Source organism: Homo sapiens, chromosome 8 (genome assembly GCF_000001405.40).
Source record: "Homo sapiens chromosome 8, GRCh38.p14 Primary Assembly".
In the NCBI taxonomy this organism is placed as follows: Eukaryota; Metazoa; Chordata; class Mammalia; order Primates; family Hominidae; genus Homo; species Homo sapiens.
In genome coordinates this window covers 48341609-48365260 of record NC_000008.11, presented here as the reverse complement: position 1 = coordinate 48365260, position 23652 = coordinate 48341609, and the positions used below count along the sequence as shown (strand labels likewise).

Below are 23652 nucleotides of genomic sequence, written 5' to 3'. Positions count from 1 at the left end.
GTCTTTGGGACCAGGCACTAGGCAAAGATATCTTATACTTAAACACGGTAAAATCCATAAAAGGAGAATATAATAAATTGGACCTCAGCAAAATTATTAAATTGAATGCATAATTTAAAAGTTTCCCAAAGAGACATCTCTGGGCCCAGATTATTAAGAAAACTTAAGAACAATTTTACACAAACTCTTCCAGAAAATAGAAGAGAAGGAAACACTTCTGAAATCATGCTATGAACATGCAAATGTTTATAGCAAAATTTCAATTTTTGCTCTGCAAAAGACCCTGTTAAGAAGAACGTAAAGACAAGCTACGGGATAGGATAAAATTTTTATAAACCATGTATCCCACAAAGGACTTGTAGCTAGGCTATCTAAAGAACTTTCAAATCTCAACTTAAAAAAATATATCTATATTAGTAAAGGAGCAAAAGACACTAAGAGATATCTCTCTGAAAAGGACATAGAGATGACAAAGAAGCACATGAAAAAAATTTCATCATCATTACCCACTAAGGAAATGCACGTGAAAACCACAAGGAGCTATCACCACATATCTATTAGAATAGCTAAAATTCAAATGATGCAATATCAAATGTGAGAGAATACATATGGAGAAACTGGAATGTTTGTGGGAATGTAAAATGGTATAGCCACTCTGGGAAATACTTTGGCAATTTCTTCTAAACCTAAAAGTGAACTTACCTTATGACCAAGAATTGTACTCGGGCATTTCAGAACAATGAAAATTGATTTTCTCACAGAAATTTGACTATGAATATTCATAGCAGCTTTATTCATAAAAGTGCAAAACTCATAACTACCAAATATCCTTCAATGGGTGAATAGTTCAATAAGCTCTGGGACATCCAGACAGTGGAATACTACTACTCAACAATTTTAAAAAGCTATTGATCCACACAATTTTTATGACCCTCAAGGAAAGCCAATCTCAAAAGTATAAATACTGCATGATTCCATTTATATAATGTTTGTGAAATAACATAATTACAGAGATGGATAATAGGTTAGTGGTTGCTAAGGGTTATGGATACAGATGGAAGCACAGGTGTGGCCATAAACAGGAAGCATGAGAGAACCTTGTAGTGATGGTACCACGATTGTAGTCATGGTTACATGAAGTTACACATGTGATAAAATTGCATAGAACTACACACACATATCCACCAATACTATAGCTAGTGAAATCTCAATAAGCTCCACGGATGGAACCAACATCAATTTCCTGGCTGATATTGTAGCATATTTACACAAAATAATAACATGGGGGGAAGCTGGGTGAAGGGTACTCTGGACCTCTCTTACATTTCCATGCAACTTCCTGTGAACCTATAATTATTTCATAATGAAAAGCTATTTTTTAACAAGACATATAAAGGTAATGGGATGGATCATTTCCACACTCAGATGTGCAAAGAAAAGATTGCCATATTATTTTTTTGTAACTAATTTGATCTTGCTCTCAAGTCCTACACTGCTGGATATCAAGAGAGAAACATTAAATTTTCTAAATAAAGTATTTAGATTTTTTCTGGTTTATAAGAATAGTCATACAAAGTCCATATTTTTTAGAGATGAACACTGAATTATGTAGGAATTAAAGTGATGTAATGTCTGAGATTTGTTCCAAAATGTTTTTTTGTTTGTTTTTATGTTTGTTTGTTTGTTTGTTTTGAGACAGAGCCTCCCTCTGTCACCCAGAATGGAGTTCTGTGGCATGATCTCGGCTCACTGCAACCTCCACCTCCCAGGTTCAAGCAGTTCTCCTGCCTCAGCCTCCCAAGTAGCTGAGATTACAGGCCACCACACCCAGCTAATTTTTGTATTTTTAGTAGAGAGGGGGTTTCGCCATGTTGACCAGGCTGGTCTCGAACTCCTGACCTGAAGTGATCCTCCCACCTCAGCCTCCCACAGTGCTGGGATTACAGGCATGAGCCACCACACCCAGCCTCCCAAATGTTTTTAACAGAAAAGGAAAAAGAAATAGAAGAGGAAATGACTGATGAAGTGAACATGACAAAATCTAGATAATTCTAGAATGTAGGTACATGTGGATTATTAGACTATTATCTTAATTTTTTTGTATGATGTTTGAAAATATTCATTCCATAATTTTCTTTTTGAAAAATCAATTAAACGTGTAGTTGAAGAGTCTCCACTTAACCTTCAATAGGAACTATTAAATCTGGAGTATCATGACATACTAAAAGCACCTATTAAGAGAAGAATCTTATCAAATTCTAGATGTGCCTTCCAAGTGATGATATCCTCAGTTAAAATCACATGCTCATGAGTTAATGTCATTATCTGGCAGCAGCTTGTTGTGTAAAATGGCATTTTCAAAGGTGAAATATGTAAGATCTCCTTCCTATTAGATCAGCATTAAGAGATGAACATTTGTCTTTGATTTTGATGACAGAGAAAACAAACTTTGAATTCTGAGTGAAATATTATTTCTCCCATAAAGAATTCCATTCTTCTCATCAGGAGAACTATATTACAAAACACTGTACACAATTATTATGTTTTGAATTTTGTCATTAAAAAATTTGTAGGGATTTGTTTTCTCTCTTGTTACCTAAGTACCTACATAATGTCTTCAATATTGCCCCTTGGCTCACAAAGCCTAAAATATTTACCATCTGACCTTTTACAGAAACAGTTTGCTGCCCCTGTTGTGAGGACGGCTTGCATGTGTGATGATGTAGCAGCTCTAGACACCTCTCCGCACGTAGAGAGGTCCTATGTCCAAAGCAAAGCAAAACAAACCTTTAGAAATAAGCTGCTCAGCCCTGTCTCCATCCTCTGCCACTCTCAATACAGCATGAGAAGTGGAACACTCTTCTAGTTCTCTCCTCTCCTGCACACACCACATAGTTGGCCCCCCAGATTAAGAGACCTGAAGTGACACAGGACATTAGAAGTGTGAAGAAGACCAGAAAGAGGTGCCCACTGCAAGTACAGGAGTAGATGGCCCTGCACGGAGCTGTCCCTCTAGACTTACCCTCACCTCCCTGCCACATCCCCACCCAATCTCATTCATTCTTCTTGAACGATCACAGCCCCCCTCTGAGTGGTTTCCCTGTTTTCAGCCTTAGACCTTAGGCCCTGTTAGGGACTGCATGTTGTATCCCCCAGAATTCACATGTTGAAGTCCTAACCCCCAGTGTGGCTGCATTTGGAGTGGGGCCACTACGGAAGTCATTAAGGTAAAATGAGGTCATAAGAGTGGGGTCCTAATCTCATAAGAGTAGTGTCTTTACAGGAAGACATGCCTGAGGGCTCACTCCCTCTCTGCTCTCTGTATGGAGGAAAGGTCATGGGACATATAGCAAGAAAGGACACAAAGGGAGCTCTCACCAGACACCAACCTGCTAGCACCTTGCTCTTGGACATCCAGGCTCTAGAACTGTGACAAAGTACATGTCTGCCTTTAAGCATCCAGCCTGTGGTATTTTGTTACACAGCCTGAGCAGACCAACACAGGCCCCTTCCATTCATGGAGCACCACGGCTGTAACAGTTACCTTGAATATTTCCAGGCCCAACACTTTTGTATGCAAAAAGTTGCTGTTGTTCCTCATGGTTTGACAAATAGACTCTAAATTCCTTAGCCTGAAAGCCAAACTTGCTATTGCCAGCAAAACCCTCTCATTCACTTTTCCTGCCTGCCCTCCAGCCAAATGGACGGCTCTTCACTCCCAGACTGTGCCACGTCCCTCCCCGTTGCTGCCACGCAACTTACCTTTTTCTGTCGTCCAGATCCTCAAGGGCAAGCTCAAATCCAATGTGTGCTCCATGAAATGTTCCTTGCTGCCATCCTGAAAAAGCCATCTCTCTGCCCCTGAAATGTCATGCATGTGTTTGTGTTCTTTCTCTTCTGCACTGAATTGAAATATACACTTTCTTGTGTATATTTCTTAAATGTCTTCATGTGTGTATTTCTTAAAATGTCTTCAACTCATGCACCTCACCCTTAAGGAGACTGTACAGTTCTTGAAGTCCAAACAATGTCTAATTAGTGCCTTTAATTTTCACTCAGTAGCACTCAGTAAATATCTGACAAAAGAATCTCACATTATTTGTTTAAATATTTTCTAATTATTTATTCATGATAAGTAGACTGAAACAAACTGATCAATTTGAATATGCCCAAATGATCAATGTTTGGAATCTCAAAAATTCTGAGTATTCATTCTGACCCTAAACTGATCCAAGGAGCAGAGCACAAGGCCAGCCCATGTGAGTGTGGATTTCACTCTGCTTCCCCTGCAGTCTCTAGAGACAGGGGGAATCTACAGAAAGGGATCCTTCAGGGCCATAGTCCTTTTCTGTTTGTAAATAATGAATGATATGAGATTTCCTTCAACATTTTGCTTCAAGAGTCAGAGTATAAACACACATAGGCCTATCATTCAATAACTGATAAATCAGTGGTTTCTTGTTCCTTTTCCCCTTTCCAGAACTGAAACGAGCTTTGGTCTTTTAACTTGATATTGTTTAAAGAGTGATACTGAAACCCCATACACTTAAACATAATGCTCCAAGAACTTCCAAAGTGTCCCTGTTATCAGATTCTGACAAATCATCACACACTATTCTCTAAGAAGGAACAGAGAAAATCTCTTTACCTGAGGCCGTGGCCCACGTCTAATTAGGAACATAACATTGTCCCATTTTTCAGACTCTTCTTGAGATCTACCTGGGTCTGACACTATCCTCACTTACCATCCATGCAATTTTTTCTTAGGAAATAACATATGGCATCCTGAGCTCCCCTTTGCTTGGGGTCAATCTTTAGAACAGCTCCCATTTGTTGAGGGTGTGCTCACACCCGATGCGCTATACGGGTTACATCCCTCAATCCTCACAGGACCCCGTGAGAGGCAGTGCTATTACATGACCAGATGGTTGAGAAAGGCTACTACATGATCAGATGGTTGAGAAAGCCAACCTTAGGAGTCACTCGGTTATAGTCACAGACCAAAGGCTGCAGACTACACTTTAAAAATAACTTTTATACTTATACATTCACAGTAAGTTACCAAGACAGCAGAGGAGCAGAGAGGTCTCCTGTTCCCTTCACCCAGTTATCCCCAGTGGTTACAATACAAAATTAAAACCAGAAAAGTGACATTGGTACAATGTGTGCTAGGTTTGAGTCATTTTATTAAATGTGTAGATTTGTGTAACCACCACCTAAATCAAAAATCACAACTATCCCATCACCCCAAGGCTTCCTTTGTGTTACCCCCTTTATAATCATGCCTCCCCCACCCCTACCACCCCCAGTCCCCGGCAACCACTCATCTCTTTTCTATCTCTATAATTTTGTCATTTGAAAATGTTATATAAAAGGAATTACAGAGCATGTAAACTTTTGATATTGGCTTTTTTCACTCCATAAAATCCTCTGGAGATTGATCCAGGATGCTGCATGGATCATTCATTCATTCCTTTTTTATGGCTGAGTATTCTCTGGTATGGATGTATCCATTTATTCAACCATCACCTATTAGGGACATTTTGGTTGCTTTCAGCTTTGGGCTATTGCGGATAAAGATGCTGTGAAGAGTTGTGTACAGGTTTTTGTGTTGACATAAGTTGTCGTGTCTCAGATAAATGCACAGAAGTACCACTGATGGGTTACACGGTAATTGTATGTTTAGATTTTTCTAAGAAACCACCTATTTCCCAGATTGTCTGTGCTATTTTACATTCCCACCAGCACCACATGCAGGATCCAGTTTCTCTGCATCCATGATAGTATTCAGTGTTGTCAGTACTTGCTTTTGGTTTTGGTTGTTCCAATAGGTGTGTCCTGATATCTCACCATAGCCTTAGTTTTGATATCCCTAATATCTAGTAATGTTGGATATCTTTTTGTGTGTTTATTTGACATCTGTATGTTCTCTTTGGTGAAATATCTCTTCATATCTTTTGTCCATTTTCTAATTGGATTGTTTGGTTTTTACTGTTGAGGTTTGAAAATGCTTCATGAATTCTAGATGTAAGACGTTTTTCACATATGTGGTTTTCAAATATTTTCCCTCAATCTGCAGCTCATCTTTTCATATTCTTAACAAGTTCTTTCCCACAGCAGAAGGTTTAAATCTTGATGAAGTCCAATTTATCGATACCAATTTTTTTCTTTTATGATTCATAATTTTGATGTCATGTCTAAGATTTCTTCACCAAGCCCACAGCCTAAAAATTTTCTGCTATATTATCTGCTAAAAATTCTACAGGTTTATTTATTTATCTATTTTTGGAGATAAGGTCTCACTTTTGTCACCCAGGCTGGAGTGCAGTGGCACAATCACAGCTCACTGCAGCCTCAACTTCACAATTTGATATAAATTTTAGATTTATAAAGTCTATGGTATTATATGTTTGGATATAAATTTTAGAATAATCATGGCTATATCTACAAAAAGATTGTGAAAATTTTGATAAGAATTGCATTAAACCTGTGTTTGAATTTAGGGAGAACTGGCAATGTTGAGTTTTGCAATCCACAAACATGGCATGCCTTTCTGTTTATGTAGATCTTCTTTGATTTTTCCATCACCATTTTGTAGTTTTCAGTGTGCAAGTCCTATAAAATGTTTTGTTAAATGTGTACACAAATATTTCATTTTCTTTGGAAAATCGATAAATTGTATTTTTTATTTTGGGTATCGATTTATCTCGTGTCCTGTGACTTTACTGAACCACTTGTTAGTTGTAGGAGTTTTTTTGAAAAGTCATCGTACATATTCTATGTAAACAACCATGCTGTCAGCAGTTTTATTTCAGGCAGTTTTATATCTTTTTTCATATCTCTGTGTCTTTTATATCCTTTTTTTTTTTTTTTTTTTTTTTTTTTGCCTTACTGCTTTGGCTAGAACTTCCAGGATTATGCTTACTAACTGTGGCTAGAGTAAATATCTTGCCTTATTTCTGATCTTAAGGGGAAAACAAATACTCTTTCACTATTAAGTATGATGTTAGCTGTGGGTTTTGTGGGTATACTCTGTTTTCTTTCTGATATTGGTAACTTATGTCTTTTTGTGTCTTTGTCTTGCTAGATGAATTTTATATATCTTTTCAGAAAACCAGCTTTTTGTCTCATGGATTTTCCCTATTGTCTTTCTGTTTTCAACTTTATTGACTTCTGCCCACGTCTTTATTATTTATTTCTACCTGCTTTGGGATTATTTTGCTCTTATTCTCTTAGGTTTTTGAGGTAGGAGCTTAAATTACTTATTTGGGATTTTCTTCTTTTTCTATTGTAAGCATTTATTGCCATAAATTTCCCTCCCGGTACCATATTGGCTGCATACTACCAACTTTGTTTTTTGTTTTTGTTTTCTCTTTTTTTTAAATTATACTTTAAGTTCTAGGGTATATGTGCACAACATGCAGGTTTGCTACATAGGTATACAAGTGCCATGTTGGTTTGCTGCACCCATTAACTCGTCATTTACATTATACATTTCTGCTAATGCTATCCCTGCCACTGACCCCCATCCCACGACAGGCCCCAGGGTGTGATGTTTCCCGCCCTGTGTCCAAGGCAGGAAATTGTTCAATTCCCACCTATGAGTGAGAACATGCAGTGTTTGGTTTTCTGTCCTTGTGATGATTTGCTTAGAATGATGGTTTCCAGCTTCATCCATGTCCCTTCAAAGGACATGAACTCATCCTTTTTATGGCTGCATAGTATTCCATGGTGTATATGTGCCACATTTTCTTTATCCAGTCTATCATTGATGGACATTTGGATTGGCTCCAAGTCTTTGCTATTGTGAATAGTGCTGCAATAAACATACATGTGCATGTGTCTTTACAGTAGCATGATTTATAATCCTTTGGGTATATAGCCAGTAATGAGATTGCTGGGTCAAATGGTATTTCTAGTTCTAGATCCTTGAGGAATCACCACACTGTCTTCCACAATGGTTGAACCAGTTTACACTCCCACCAACAGTGTAAAAGCATTCCTATTACTCCACATCCTCTCCAGCATATGTTGTTTCCTGACTTTTTAATGATCGCCATTCTAACTGGTGTGAGATGTTATCTCATTGTGGTTTTGATTTGCATTTCTCTGATGACCAGTGATGAGGAGCATTTTTTTCATGTGTCTGTTGGCAGCATAAATGTCTTCTTTTGAGAAGTGTCTGTTCATACCCTTTGCCCGCATTTGATGGGGTTGCTTGTTTTTTTCTTGTAAATGTGTTTAAGATCTTTGTAGATTCTGGATATTAGCCCTTTGTCAGACCAGTAGATGGCAAAAATTTTCTCCCATTCCGTAGGTTGCTTGTTCACTCTGATGGTAGTTTCTTTTGCTATGAAGAAGCTCTTTAGTTTAATTAGATCCCATTTGTCTATTTTGTCTTTTGTGGCCATTGCTTTTGGTGTTTTAGTCATGAACTCCTTGACTTTGCCTACATCCCGAATGGTGTTGTCTAGGTTTTTTTCTAGGGTTTTTATGGTTTTAGGTCTAAAATTTAAGTCTTTAATCCATCTGGAATTAATTTTTGTATAAAGTGTAAGGAAGGGATCCAGTTTCAGCTTTCTACATATGGATAGCCAGCTTTCCCAGCACCATTTATTAAACACGGAATCCTTTCCCCATTTCTTGTTTTTGTCAGTTTGTCAAAGATCCGATGGTTGTAGATATGTGGTGTTATTTCTGAGGCCTCTGTTCTGTTGCATTGGTCTATATCTTTGTTTTGGTACCAGTACCATACTGTTTGGGTTACTGTAGCCTTGTAATTTAGTTAGAAGTCAGGTAGTGTGATGCCTCCACATTTGTTCTTTTGGCTTACGATTGTTTTGGCTATGTGGGCTCTTTTTTGGTTCCATATGAACTTTGAAGTAGTTTTTTCCAATTCTGTGAAGAAAGTCATTGGCAGCTTGATGGGGATGGCTTTGAATCTATAAATTACCTTGGGCAGTATGGCCATTTTCACGATATTGATTCTTCCTGTCCATGAGCATGGAATATTCTTCCATTTGTTTGTGTCTGCTTTGATTTCATTGAGCAGTGGTTTGTAGTTTTCCTTGAAGAGGTCCTTCACATCCCTTGTAAGTTGGATTCCTAGGTATTTTATTCTCTTTGTAGCAATTGTGAATGGGAGTTCACTCATGATTTGGCTCTCTGTTTGTCTGTTATTGGCGTATAGGAATGCTTGTGATTTTTGCACATTGATTTTGTACCCTGAGACTTTGCTGAAGTTGCTTATCAACTTAAGGAGATTTTGGGCTGAGACAATGGGGTTTTCTAAATATACAATCATGTCATCTGCAAACAGGGACAATTTGACTTCCTCTTTTCCTAATTGAATACCCTTTATTTCCTTCTCCTGCCTGATTACCCTGGCCAGAACTTTCAACACTATGTTGAATAGGAGTGGTGAGAGAGGGCATCCCTGTCTTGTGCCAGTTTTCAAAGGGAATGCTTCCAGTTTTTGCCCATTCAGTATGATATTGGTTGTGGGTTTGTCATAAATACCTCTTACTATTTTAAGATACGTTCCATCAATACCTAGTTTATTGAGAGTTTTTAGCATGAAGGGCTGTTGAATTTTGTCGAAGGCCTTTTCTGCATCTATTGAGATAATCATGTGGTTTTTGTCATTGGTTCTGTTTATCTGATGGATTATGTTTATTGATTTTCATATGTTGAACCAGCCTTGCATCCCAGGGATGAAGCCCACCTGATCATGGTGGATAAGCTTTTTGATGTGTTGCTGGATTCGGTTTGCCAGTATTTTACTGAGGATTTTCACATCAATGTTCATCAGGGATATTGGTCTAAAATTCTCTTTTTTTGTTGTGTCTCTGCCAGGCTTTGGTATCAGGATGACGCTGGCCTCATAAAATGAGTTAGGGAGGATTTCCTCTTTTTTTATTGATCAGAATAGTATCAGAAGGAATGGTACCAGCTCCTCTTTGTACCTCTGGTTGAATTCGGCTGTGAATCTGTCTGGTCCTGGACTCTTTTTGGCTAGTAGACTATTAATTATTGCCTCAATTTCAGAGCCTGTTATTAGTCTATTCAGAGATTGAACTACTTCCTTGTTTAGTCTTGGGAGGGTGTATATGTCAAGGAATTTATCCATTTCTTCTAGATTTTCTAGTTTATTTGCATAGATGTGTGTATAGTATTCTCTGATGGTAGTTTGTATTTCTGTGGGATCAGTGGTGATATCCCCTTTATCATTTTTTATTGCATCTGTTTGATTCTTCTCTCTTTTCTTCTTTATTAGTCTTGCTAGTGGTCTATCAATTTTGTTGCTCTTTTTCAAAAAGCCAGCTCTTGGATTCATTGATTTTTTTAAGGTTTTTTTGTGTCTCTATTTCCTTCAGTTCTGCTCTGATATTAGTTATTTCTTGCCTTCTATTAACTTTTGAATGTGTTTGCTCTTGCTTCTCTAGTTCTTTTAATTGCGGTGTTAGGGGGTCGATTTTAGATCTTTCTTGCTTTCTCTTGTGGGCATTTAGTGCTATAAATTTTCCTCTACATACTGCTTTAAATGTGTCCCAGAGATTCTGGTACGTTGTGTCTTTGTTCTCATTGGTTTCAAAGAACATCTTTATTTCTGCCTTCATGTCATTATGTACCCAGTAGTCATTCAAGAGCAGGTTGTTCCGTTTCCATGTAGTTGTGTGGTTTTGAGTGAGTTTCTTAATCCTGAGTTCTAATTTGATTACACTGTGGTCTGAGAGACAGTTTGTTGTGATTTCTGTTCTTTTACATTTGCTGAGGAGTGCTTTACTTCCAACTATGTGGACAATTTTGGAATAAGTGCAATGTGGTGCTGAGAAGAATATATATTCTGCTGATTTGAGGTGGAGAGTTCTGCAGATGTCTATTAGGTCTGCTTAGTGCAGAGCTGAGTTCAATTCCTGGATATCCTTATTAAATTTCTGTCTCATTGATCTGTCTAATATTGACAGTGGGGTGTAAAAATCTCCCATTATTATTGTGTGGGAGTCTAAGTCTCTTTGTAGGTCTCTAAGGACTTGCTTTATTAATCTGGGTGCTCATGTATTGGGTGCATATATATTTAGGATGGTTAGCTCTTCTTGTTGAATTGATCCCGTCACTATTATGTAATGGCCTTCTTTGTCTCTTTTAATCTTTGTTTGTTTAAAGTCTGTTTTATCAGAGGCTAGGATCGCAACACCTGCTTTTTTTTTCTTTTTTTTTTTTTTTTTTTGGCTTTCCATTTGCTTGGTAGATCTTCCTTCATCCCTTTATTTTGAGCCTACATGTGTCTCTGCACATGAGATGGATCTCCTGAATACTGCACACTGATGGGTTTGACTCTTTATCCAATTTGCCAGTCTGTGTCTTTTAATTGGGGCATTTAACCCATTTACATTTAAGGTTAATATTGTTATGTGTGAATTTGATCTTGTCATTGTGATGTTAGCTGGTTATTTTGCCCATTAGTTGATGCAGTTTCTTCCTAGCATTGACGGTTTTTACAATTTGGCATGTTTTTGCAGTGGCTGGTACTGGTTGTTCCTTTCCATGTTTAGTCCTTCCTTCAGGAACTCTTGTAAGGCAGGCCTGGAGGTGACAAAATCTCTCAGCATTTGCTTCTCTGTAAAGGATTTTATTTCTCCTTCACTTATGAAGCTTAGTTTGGCAGGATATGAAATTCTGGATTGAAAATTCTTTTCTTTAAGAATGTCGAATATTGGCCTCCCACTCTCTTCTGGCTTGTAGAGTTTTTGCCAAGAGATCTGCTGTTAGTCTGATGGGCTTCCCTTTTTTGGGTAACCTGACCTTTCTCTCTGCCTACTCTTAACATTTTTTCCTTCATTTCAACCTTGGTGAATCTGACAATTATGTGTCTTGGGGTTGCTCTTCTCAAGGAGTATCTTTGGGGTGTTCTCTGTATTTCTTGAATTTGAATGTTGGCCTGCCTTGCTAGGTTGGGGAAGTTCTCCTGGATAATATCCTGAAGAGTGTTTTCCAACTTGGTTCCATTCTCCCTGTCACTTTCAGGTACACCAGTCCAATGTAGATTTGGTCTTTTCACATAGTCCCATATTTCTTGGAGGCTTTGTTTGTTTCTTTTTACTCTTTTTTCTCTAAACTTTTCTTCTCACTTTATTTCATTAATTTGATCTTCAATCACTGATACCCTTTCTTCCACTTGGTCAAATCAGCTATTGAAGCTTGTGCATGCATCATGTAGTTCTCGTACCATGGTTTTCTGCTCCATCAGGTCATTTAAGGTCTTCTCTACACTGTTTATTCTAGTTAGCCATTCATCTAATCTGTTTTCAAGGTTTTTAGCTTCCCTGCGATGGGTTCGAGCATCCTCCTTTAGCTCAGAGAAGTTTGTTATTACCGACTTTCTGAAGCCTACCTCTGTCAGCTCGTCAAAGTCATTCTCTGTCCAGCTTTGTTCCATTGCTGGCGAGAAGCTGCAATCCTTTGGAGGAGAAGAGGTGCTCTGGTTTTTAGAATGAGATGAACCAGGCACCTAGGTTGGAAATGCAGAAATCACCCATCTTCTGTGTTGATCACACTGGGAGCTGCAGACCAGAGCTGTTCCTATTTGGCCATCTTGGAATGGAATCCCTGCATACTATCAACTTTGATATGTTGCATTTTCATTTTATTTAGTTCAATATATCGTTTGCCCTTGAGCCACCTTCTTTGATCCATGTATTATCATATAGCATGTGTTGTTTAGTTTACAAGTATTTTACACTTTCCTATTATCTTTCCTTTGTATCCAGATTTATTATATTGTGGACAATGTACTCTGTACAATTTCAATTCTTTTAAGTTTTTTAAGGTTTGTTTTATGACCCAGAATATTGTCTGTCTGATGAATCCTCCATGGGTATATGAATAAAATGTGTATTCTACTATTGTTGGATAAAGTGTTCTTTTTCTTTCTTTTTGAGATGATGTCTTGCTCTGTCACCCAGGCTGGAGTGCAGTGGCACAATCTTGGCTCATGGAAACCTCCACATCCCAGGTTCAAGCAATTCTTGGGCTCTTTTTGGGTTCCATATGAATTTTAAAATAGTTTTTACTAGTTCTTGAAGAATGTCATTGGTATTTTAATAGGAATAACATTGAATGTATAAATTGCTTTGGGCAGTATGGTCATTTTAATATAGGCCATTTTAATATAGGAAGATTGATTCTTCCTATCCATGAGGATGGAATGTTTTTCCATTTGTTTGTATCATCTCTGATTCGTTTGAGCAATATTTTGTAGCTCTCCTTGTAAATATATTTTGCCTCCCCGGATAGCTGTATTCATAGGTATTTCATTATTTTATGGCAGTTGTGAATGGGATTGTGTTCCTGATTTAGCTCTTGGTTTGATTGTTATTGATGTATAGGAATATTAGTGATTTTTCACACTGATTTTGTATCCTGAAACTTTGCTAAAGTTGTTTATCAGCTTAAGGAGCTTTAGGACTGAGAATATGATGTTTTCTAGATATAGGATCATGTCATCTGCACACAGGAATAGTTTGACTTCCTCTCTTCCTATTTGGATGCTGTTTATTTCTTTCTCTTGCATGAATGCCCTGGCCAGGACTTCCAATACTATCTTGAATACAAATGGTGACAGAGGAGTGGTGATAGAAGGCATCCTTCTCTTGCACTGATTTTCAAGAGGAATGCCCCATGATTTCTAATGGGAATGCCATTGTGGTGACAATTAGGAATGGTGACAGAGGGCATCCATCTGTCCCCATGATTTTCAAGGGGAATGCTTCCAGCTTTTGCCCATCCAGTATAATGTTGTCTGGGGGTGCGTCATAGATGGCTCCAGTTATTTTGAAGAAAGTTCCTTCAATACCTACTTTATTGAGAGATTTTAACATGAAGGGATGTTGAATTTTATTGAAAGCCTTTTCTGCATCTATTGAGAGATTATGTGGTCTTTGTCTTTAGTTCCACTTATGTGATGAATCACATTTATTGATTTGTGTATGTTGAAGCAACCTTGCATCCTGGGGATTAAGCTTACTTGATCATGGTAGATAAGCTTTTTTATGTGCTTCTGAAGTCAGTTTGTCAGTATTTTGCTGATGATTTTTGCATCAGTGTTCATCAAAGACATTCACCTGAAGTTTTGTTTTTTGTTGTGTTTCTGCCAAGTTTTTGTATCAGGATGATGCTACCCTCATAGAATGATTTAGGGAGGAGTCCCTCCTCCTCAATTTTTTAGAATAGTTTCAGCAGGAATGGTACCAGCTTTTGTTTGTACATTTGGTAGAATTCAACTGTGAATCTATCCGGTCCTGGGCTTTTTTTCATTGGTAGGCTATTTATTGCTGACTCAATTTCAGAGCTCATTATCGGTCTATTCAGGGATTCAGTTTCTTCTTCTTTCAGTCTTGTGAGGGTATGTGTGACCAAAAATTTATCTGTTTCTTCTGTGTTTTCTAGTTTATATTCATAGAGGTGTTCATTATATTCTTCAACTGTTATTTGTATTTCTGTGGGGCCAGTGGTAATATCCCCTTTATCATTTCTAATTGTGTCTCTTTGAATCTTCTCTCTTTTCTTCTTTATCCTATTTTATTGATTTTTTTCAAAAAACAGTTCCTGGATGCGTTGATCTTTTCCATGGTTTTTTGTGTCTTAATCTCCTTCAGTTCAAACTGGTTTTGGTTATTTGTTGTCTTCTGCTAACTTTGGTATTTGTTTGCTCTTGATTCTCTAGTTCTTTTAGTTGTGACATTAGGTTGTTAATTTGAGATCTTTCTAACTTTTTGATGTGGGCATTTAGTGGTATAAGCTCCCCTCTTAACACTACCTTAGCTGTGTCCCAGAAATTCTGTTATGTTGTATCTTTGTTCTCATTACTTTCAAAGAACTTCTTGACATCTGTCTTAATTTCATTATTTACTCAAAAGCCATTCAGGAGCAGCTTATTCAATTTCCATGTAATTGTATGGCTTTGAGTGAATTTCTTAGTCTTAATTTCTAATTTGATTATGCTGTGGTCTGAGACATTGTTCGCTATGACTTCAGGTATCTTGCATTTGCTGAGGAGTGTTTTGCTTCCAAATATCTGATCAGTTTTAGAGTATGTGCCATGTGGCAATGAGAAGAATGTATATTCTGTTGTTTTGGAGTAGAGGGTTCTGTAGATGTCGTCAGGTCTTTTTAATCTAGTGCTGAGCTCAGGTCCTGAATATCTTTGTTAACTTTTTGTATCAATGATCTGTCTAATATTGTTAGTGCAGTGTTAAAATCTCCCACTATTATTGTGTGGGAGTGTAAGACTCTTTGAAGGTCTCTAAGAACTTGCTTTATGAACCTGGGTGGTTTGTGTTTAATGCATATATATTTAGGATAATTCGATCTTCTAGTTGAACTGAACTTTTTATCATTATGTAATGCCTTTCTTTGTCTTTTTTGATCTTCGTGGTTTAAAGTCTATTTTGTCTGAAACTAAGATCGCAACCTCTGCTTTTTTCTATTTTCTATTAGCTTGGTAGATTTTTCTTCATCCCTTTATTTTGAGCCTATGTGTGTCATTGCATGTGAGATGGATCTCTTGAAGACAGCATACCATTGGGTCTTTATCCAGCTTGCCACTCTGTGCCCTTTAATTGGGGCATTTAGCCCATTTACATTCAAAGTTAGTATTGATGTGTGTGGATTTGTTCCTGTCATCATGATTTTAACTGGTTATTTTGCAGACTTGTTTATGTGGTTGCTTAATAGTGCCACTGGTCTGTGTACTTTGGTGTGTTTTTGTAGCAGCTGGTAATGGTCTTTTCTTTCCATATTTAGTGCTTCCTTCTAGAGCTCTTGTAATGCAGGTCTGCTGGTAACAAATTCCCTCAGCATTTCCTTGTCTGAAAAGGATCTTATTTCTCCTTCACTTATGAAGCTTGGTTTGGCTGGATATGAAATTCCAGGTTGGAATTTCTTTTCTTTAAGAAGTTTGAATATTGGCCCCAGATATATTCTGGTTTGCAGGGTTTCTGCTGAGAGGTCCAGTGTTAGTCTGAAGGGCTTCCCTTTGTAGGTTACCTGACCTTTCTCACTAGCTGCCATTAACATTTTTTTCTTTTATTTTGACGTTGGAGAATCTGATTATGTGTCTTGGGGATGATCTTCTTGTGAAGTATCTTAGTGGGGTTCTCTGCATTTGTTGAATTTGAATGTTGGCCTCTCTAGCTAGGTTGGGGAAGTTCTTATGAATGATATCCCCAAGTATGTTTTCCAAGTTGGTTTCATTCTCCCCATCACTTTCAGGGACACCAGTGAGTCATAGATTTACTCTCTTTAAATAATCTCACATTTATTGGAGGTTTTATTAATTCCTTTCCATTCTTTTTTCTCTATTCTTGTCTGACTGTCTTATTTCAGAAAGCCAATCATCAAGTTCTGAGATTCTTCCCTTTTCTTGGACTATTCTGTTATTAATACTTGTGATTGCATTATGAAATTCTTGTAATGTGTTTTTCAGCTCTATCAGGTTGGTTAAATTCTTTTTTCTATACTGGCTATTTTGTCTGTCAGCTCCTGTTTTGTTTTATCATGATTTCTAGGTTTTTTGAATTGGGTTTCAATGTACTCCTCTAGCTCAATGATCTTCCTTCCTATCCATATTCTGAATTCGATTTCTGTCATTTCAGCCATCTCAGCCCAGTTCAAAATACTTGCTGCAGAGGTGATGTGGTCATTTGAAGGAAAGAGGGCATTCCAGCTTTTAGAGTTTTCAGGGTTCTTGCACTGATTCTTTCTCATCTTTGTAGGCTTATCTCCCTTCAATCTTTGAGGCTTCTGACCTTTGGCAGAGTGTTTTTTTTTTCTTCTTTTATACTACCTGATGACATTGAGGGTTTGATTGTGGTATAAGGTGAATTCAGATGGCTGGCTCTATTTCTGGAAGATTTTAGGTAGACAGTGCTCATCTCCCATCTCATGGACTCTGTGCTCTGAACTGGTATTGGGCCCCAGCTTTGTTCTCTGGCTCCTCAAGGTTAAGAATCCACTTGTGCCAGGGGGTGGGGGGCCTGAGGTGTGGCAGCTATGACAGAGTGTTTGCAGGTGCCAGGGTGCCTGTCTCCCTGCAGGCATTTACTACGGTGACAGAGGCAACACAGCTGGTGGGGTGGTGTCAGGGGGGCCCTTGCTGGGGACTATGTGCACAGTCATGCTAAAGGTGGTGTTGGCTCAGGGGTAAGGTGCTGGTGGACACAGATCTAGGTGCCTTATCTGTGCCCCACAAGCAGGAGTGATTGCTAAGGGCAGGGGAGAATCCACTGTTCTCTACACAGTGTTAGTGCAAGGGCAGGGTGTTGGTGGGGGTGGGGGTGGGACTGGTTGACTCTCTGCCCACCAAGGCTTCATCTGCAATGGCAGTCAGTTGAGGGAGGAGGGCCAGACTGCACTCCCTTGCACTGGTGGAGCAAGGAAAGCAAAACCCATCCATGCAGATGGGCAACAGCAAGCAACATGGGGAGTTGCCATGGACTTGGGGGAAGCTGCAGTATGGGGAGGGAGCATGCAAGCTGCTGTATGGCCATAGTGGCTGCCCCATTAGACCTCTCCACTGGTCAGGCACAGTCCACCAGCACAGAAGCTATGGTGCAGGCCCCCAGGGCACCTGAGACTGCTCTGCAAGCAGGTGTGGCCAGGCTGAGGCCCTAAGAGAGGCCAGCAGACCAACGGGTGCTCAGATGAGACGAGCACCATTGGATGAGCAAGATTGCCCTGCAAAGTTCAGGCCTGACAGTTCCCCTAGTGAATGTCCTTTATTTCTTTCCCTTGCATGATTGCCCTGGCCAGAACTCCCAATACTATGTTGAATAGGAGGGTTAAGAGAGGACATCCTTGTCTTGTGCCAGTTTTCAAGGGGAATGCTTCCAGCTTTTGTGCATTCAGTATGATGTTGGCTGTCAGTTTGTCATAGGTGACTCTTATTACTTTGACGTATGTTCTTTCAAAACATAGTTTATTGATTACTATGTTAGTTCATTCTCATGTTGTAATAAAGACATACCCAAGACTGGGTAATTTACAAAGAAAAAGAGGTTCAATGGACTCATAGTTCCACATGACTGGGGAGGCCTCACAATCATGGTGGAAGGCAAAGAAGTAACAGAGACACATCTCACATGGCAGCAGGCAAAAAAGCTTGTGTAGGAGAACTCCCCTTTAAAAAACCATCAGATCTCATGAGCCTTATTCACTATCATGAGAACACATGGGAAAGACCCGCTCCCATGATTCAATTACATCCCACTGAGTTCTTCCCACAACATGTGGGAATTATGGGAGCTACAATTCAAGATGAGATTTGGGTGGGGACACAACTAAACCATATCATTCCACCTCTGGCCCCTCCAAAATCTCATGTTCTCATATTTCAAAACCAATCATGCCTTCCCAACAGTCCCCCAAAGTCTTACCTCATTTCAGCATTAACTCAGAGGTCCACAGTTCAAAGTCTCATCTGAGACAAGGCAAGTCCCTTCTGCCTATGAGCCTGTAAAATTAAAAGCAAGTTAGTTACTTCCTCGATACAATGAGGGTACAGGCATTGAGTAAATACACCCATTCCCAATGGGAGAAACTGACCAAAACAAAAGCACTACAGGCCCCATCCAAGTGCAAAATCCAATAGGGCAGTCATTAAACCTTAAAGTTCTAAAATGATCTCCTTTGACTCTATGTCTTACATCCAGGTCATGCTGATTCAAGAGGTAGTTTCCCACAGCCTTGGGCAGCTCCACCCTTGTGGCTTTGCAATGTATAGCCCACTCCTGGCTGCTTTCATGTGCTGGCACTGAGTGTCTGAGGCTTCTCCAGGCACAGAGTGCAAGCTGTCAGATCTCCATCTGAGACCACCTCAACCTGGACTTCATTGCCCCTATCACCATCAGCATTTTGGTCAAAGCCATTCAACAGGTCTGTAGGAAGTTCCAAATTTTTCCATATCTTCCTGTCCACTTCTAAACCCTACAAATTGTTCCAACCTCTGCCTCTTACCAAGTTCCAAAGACACTTCCACATTTTTGGGTATCTTTACATCAGCATCCCATTACCCAGTACCAATTTACTGTATTAGTCCATTCTCATGCTGCTAATGAACTAATAAAACCATTTATAAAAGGATCAGATCTCATGAGACTTATTCACCATCTTGAGAAAGACCTAGCCCCATGATTCAGTTACCTCCCTCCAGGTCCCTCCCACAACACTTGAGAATTATGGGAGCCACAATTCAAGATGAAATTCGGGTGGGGACACAGCCAAACCATATCAGAGGGCATCCTTGTCTTGTGCCAGTTTCCAAGGGGAATGCTTCCAGCTTTTGCACATTCAATACGATGTTGGCTGTCAGTTTGTCATAGGTGGCTCTTATTATTTTGAAGTATATTCCTTCAATATCTAGTTTATTGAGATTTTTTAACAGGAAGGGATGTTGAATTTTGTCAAAAGCCTTTTCTGCATCTACTGAGAAAATCACGTGACTTTAGTCTTTAGTTCCATTTATGTGATGAGTCACATTTATTGATTGGCATATGTTGAAGCAACCCTGTGTCCCAGGGATAAATCCTATTTGATCATGGTGGATTAGCTTTTTTATTTGCCACTGGATTCACTTTGCTAGTAGTTTGTTGACAATTTTTGCATCAATGTTCATCAAAGATATTGGCCTGAAGTTTTCTTTTTTTGTTGTGTTTCTGCCAGATTTTGGTGTTAGGATGATGCTGACCTCATAGAATGATTTAAGGAAGAGTCCCTTCTCCTCAATTTTTTGGAATAGCTTCATCAGAAATGGTAGCATCTCTTCTTCGTACATGAGGCAGAATTCAGATATCTGGTGAATCTATCTGGTGCTGTGCCTTTTTTTTTTGTGGTTGATAGTCTATTTATTACTAATTCAATTTTGGAGCTCATTATTGGTCTCTTCAGGGATTCAATTTCTTCATGTTTCAATCTTTGGAGGATGTGTGTGTCTAATAATTTATCCATCTCTTCTAGGTTTTCTAGTCTGTGTGCATAAGTGTTTGTAGTAATCTCTGATGGTTATTTGTATCTCTGTAGGGTCAGTGATAACATTCCATTCATCATTTCTGATTGTGACTATTTGTATATTTTCTTTATTAGTCTATCTGTCTTACTAATTTTTTTTCAAACAACCAAATTCTGGATTCGTTGGTCTTTTGAATGGTGTTTTGTGTCCTACTCAGCTTCAGTTCTGCTCAGATTTTGGTTATTTCTTGCCTCCTGATAGCTTTGAGGCTGGTTTGCTGTTACTTGTCTAGTTCTATTAGTTGTGACATTAGGTTGTTAATTGGAGATCATTCTAACTTTTTGTTGTGGGTATTTAATCCTAAAAATTTCCTTCTTAACACTGCCTTAGCTGTGTCCCAGCGATTCTGGTGTGTTCTATCTTTGTTTTCATTAGTTTCAAATAATTTCTTGATTTCTGCCTTAATTTCATTACTAGCCCAAAAGTCATTCAGGAGTAAGTTGTTTAATTTCCACATAATTCCATGGTTTTCAGTGACTTTTTAAAGTATTGATTTCTATTTTTACTATGGACATTTTCAGTTTCTTTCATCAATGTTTTATAGTTTTGAGGGTAAAAATCTTTCACCTCCTTAAATTTATTCCTATGTATTTTATTCTTTTTGAGGTTATTGTAAATGAGATTGTTTTCTAAATTCTTTTTCAGATAGTTCATTGTTAGTATATAAAGCTACAACTGATTTTTACTTGTTTAACAGCTTTTGGTAGAGTCTTTTGGGTTTTCTGTATATAAAATCATCTTATCTACAACAAAGGGAGTCTTATTTCCTCCTTCCTGATTTGAATATTTTTTATTTCTTTTCTTGCCTAATGGCCTTGGCTAGAACTTCCAGTACTATTTTGAATAAAATTAGTGAGAGTGGACATCTTTGTTTTGTTTTTGATCTTAGCAGAAAAGCTTTCAGCTTTTTGCCACAAAGTATAAGGTTAGCTGTGGGCTTGTTATATATGGCCCATATTAGGTTAAGGTGAATTCCTTCTAAACCTAATTTGTTGAGAGTTGTTATCATGAAAGGATGCTAAATTTTGTCAAATGCTTTTTCTGCATCTATTGATGTGATCATATGACTTTTATCCTTCATTCTGTTAATATAGTATATTATGTGGATTTGCATACGTTTAACCATCCTTGCATCCCAGGAATAAATTCCTTATATTGTGTGATCATTTAATGTGCTGTTCACTTTAGTTTGCTAATATTTTGTTCAAGATTTTTGCATCAATGTCCATCAGAAATATTGGCCTATAATTTTCTCTTATGTGATGTCCTTTTCTGGCTTTAGTACCAGAGTAATTCTGGCCTGGTAAAATAAGCTTAGAATTGTTTCCTCCTCTTCAATTTTTTTGGAAGAATTTGAGAATAATTAGCATTAATTCTTTATATTTTTGGTAAAATTTACCAGTGAAGCCATTCAGTCCCTGGCTTTTCTTGGTTGGGAAGTTTTTGATTACTGGTTCAATCTCTTACTTGTTAATGATGTATTCAGATTTTCTATTTCTTCATAACTTGATTTCAGTATGTTGTGTGTTTACAGGAATTTATTTATTTCTTCTAGGCTATACAATTTTTTGGCATGTAATTGTTCACAGTAGTCTTTTATGATCAGACATATTACTGTGGTATCAGTTTTAATGTCTTCTCTTTTGTTTATAACTTTAAGTCTTTTCTTAGCCTAGGTTAAGGTATTTAAAATTTTGTTTATCTTTTCAAAAGACCAGTTCAGTTTCCTTGACATTTTTATTGTCCTTCTAGTCTCTATCCATTTGTTTCTGCTCTAATCTTTATTATTAATCTTTACTAATCCTCTGCTAACTTTAGGGTTAGTTTGCTCTTCTTTTTAAATTTCCTTGAGGTGTAAAGTTAGATTGCTCATTTAATATCTAACTTCAGTTCAGTCACTGTCTTCTTCAGCTCCCAAATTTCTGTTTGGTTCTTTTTTATAGTTTCTAACTCTTTATTAGATTTCTCATTTTGTTCACGCATTGTTTTTCTTATTTTATTTAGTTATCTATCCATATTCTCTTGCAGCTCACTGAGCTTCTTTAAGAAAATTAATTTGAATTCTTTGTCAGGCAGTTTATACATCTTTATTTATTTGGGGTCAACCACTGGAGATTTATTTCATTTCTTTAGTAGTGTCATATTTTCTTACTTTTCATGCCCCTTGAAGCCTTGCACTGTTATCTTTGCATTTGAAGAAGCAGTCACTTCCTCCTGCCTTAACTGACTAGCTTCAGGAGAGAAAGATCTTCACCAGTCAGCCTGGCTAGAGATTCTCAGATTTCTTTATGACTACATTCACTCCACTCCTCTATTTTCCCCCTGGGGAGCGGTCGGGGGGGGTCTTAGGATTGTGTGCTTTCTCTCAAATCCTCTTAATCTTGTAAAACCAGACCAAGTACTGACAGCCTCCCATTTGTTTTCCCTAGAGTAGCACCCTGAAGTGTTTAAGGTTGTGTATCTTCTACCAATTCAGCAGAGTTAAGACAGCTGCTGATATCCATGTGCTGTCTGTGTGGGAATGCGCATTCCATCTGCAGGGGAGCATGAGAAGCTATCTGAGAGGGATCACATGTGATGGCCATTGTGGTGAGGAAACTCATAAGCTAGTTGGGGGTCTCTTATCTAACAGACACCCCACAGGGCTCATGGGGTGAACCTGGTGGGGCTCCTGGTGAAGTCTCTGAGCTGACCAGTAGGATCTGCAGCTGTATGAGAGTGTCATGCACAGGCTGCTGTGAAACCCTGTCCCTTCTCTCTGCTCATGCTGCTCCCAGGCAATTCATCTGTGCCAATCCCTGTAGTGTTCTGGATGGGTGAGACAAAAGTAGGTTTCCTGGGCAGTATCCCACAAGGTTTCTTTCTGAGTTTGTTTGGGTTGCTATAACAAGATATCATAACCTGGGTGGCTTATAAATAACTGTGAGAAGTAAATGTTTATCTCAGGCTGGGTAGTCCAAGATTAAGTATCAGACAGACTCAGTTTCTGGTGAGGGCCCATTACTCACAGACAGTGACTTCCAGTGGTGTCCTCACTTGGTAGAAGGGGAAAGGCAGCTCTCGGGGGCCTTTTTTTTATTAGGGCACTAATCCCATTCATGAGAGCTAAACCCTCATGATATAATCATCTTCCAAAGGCACCATTTCTTACTACCATCACATTAGAGATTAGATTTCACATACGAATTTGAGGGGGACATTCATTCAGATCACAGCAGCCAAGGAAGCCAGGAACTCACTTTGCTCTTACTTCCCCCATGGAAGAAACCTCAGGCTGAGGGTTTCTCTTGGCACTGATCTGTGCTGCCTTCATGGAGGAATGACACACATGAAATGAAACTGTTCTTCTCACCCTCTTCAATGCTTCTATTCTTGGATTTTTTTGCTTCCCCATTTTGCTGGAACCTCTAAACTAGTCTTCTGGGTTTCCATAAAGGTATTGTCATTATAAGTGGTTGTTAAAACCAGTGTTTCTGTGGGTACCAGAGGGTTGAGGGATGGAACCTCCTATTCTGCCATCTTGTTGATGTTTCCTAGAGTGTTCAGGTGTATATATGTTTATAATTGTTATATCTTTTTCATGGATT

General features: G+C 38.5%; 1 long non-coding RNA gene across 1 annotated transcript in view; it reads right to left on the bottom strand.

Annotated features, from left to right (window-relative positions):
* The window catches only part of LOC105375821 (uncharacterized), a 127805-nt gene extending 109334 nt beyond the window's left edge, over positions 1 to 18471 (bottom strand). Inside the window, exons 1-2 of the long non-coding RNA XR_001745891.1 lie at positions 18435 to 18471; positions 3763 to 3861 (exon numbers count right to left, since the gene is read on the bottom strand). This is a non-coding gene — a long non-coding RNA (uncharacterized LOC105375821). The remainder of the gene's footprint in view (positions 1 to 3762; positions 3862 to 18434) is intronic.
* Positions 18472 to 23652: the final 5181 nt, after the last annotated feature.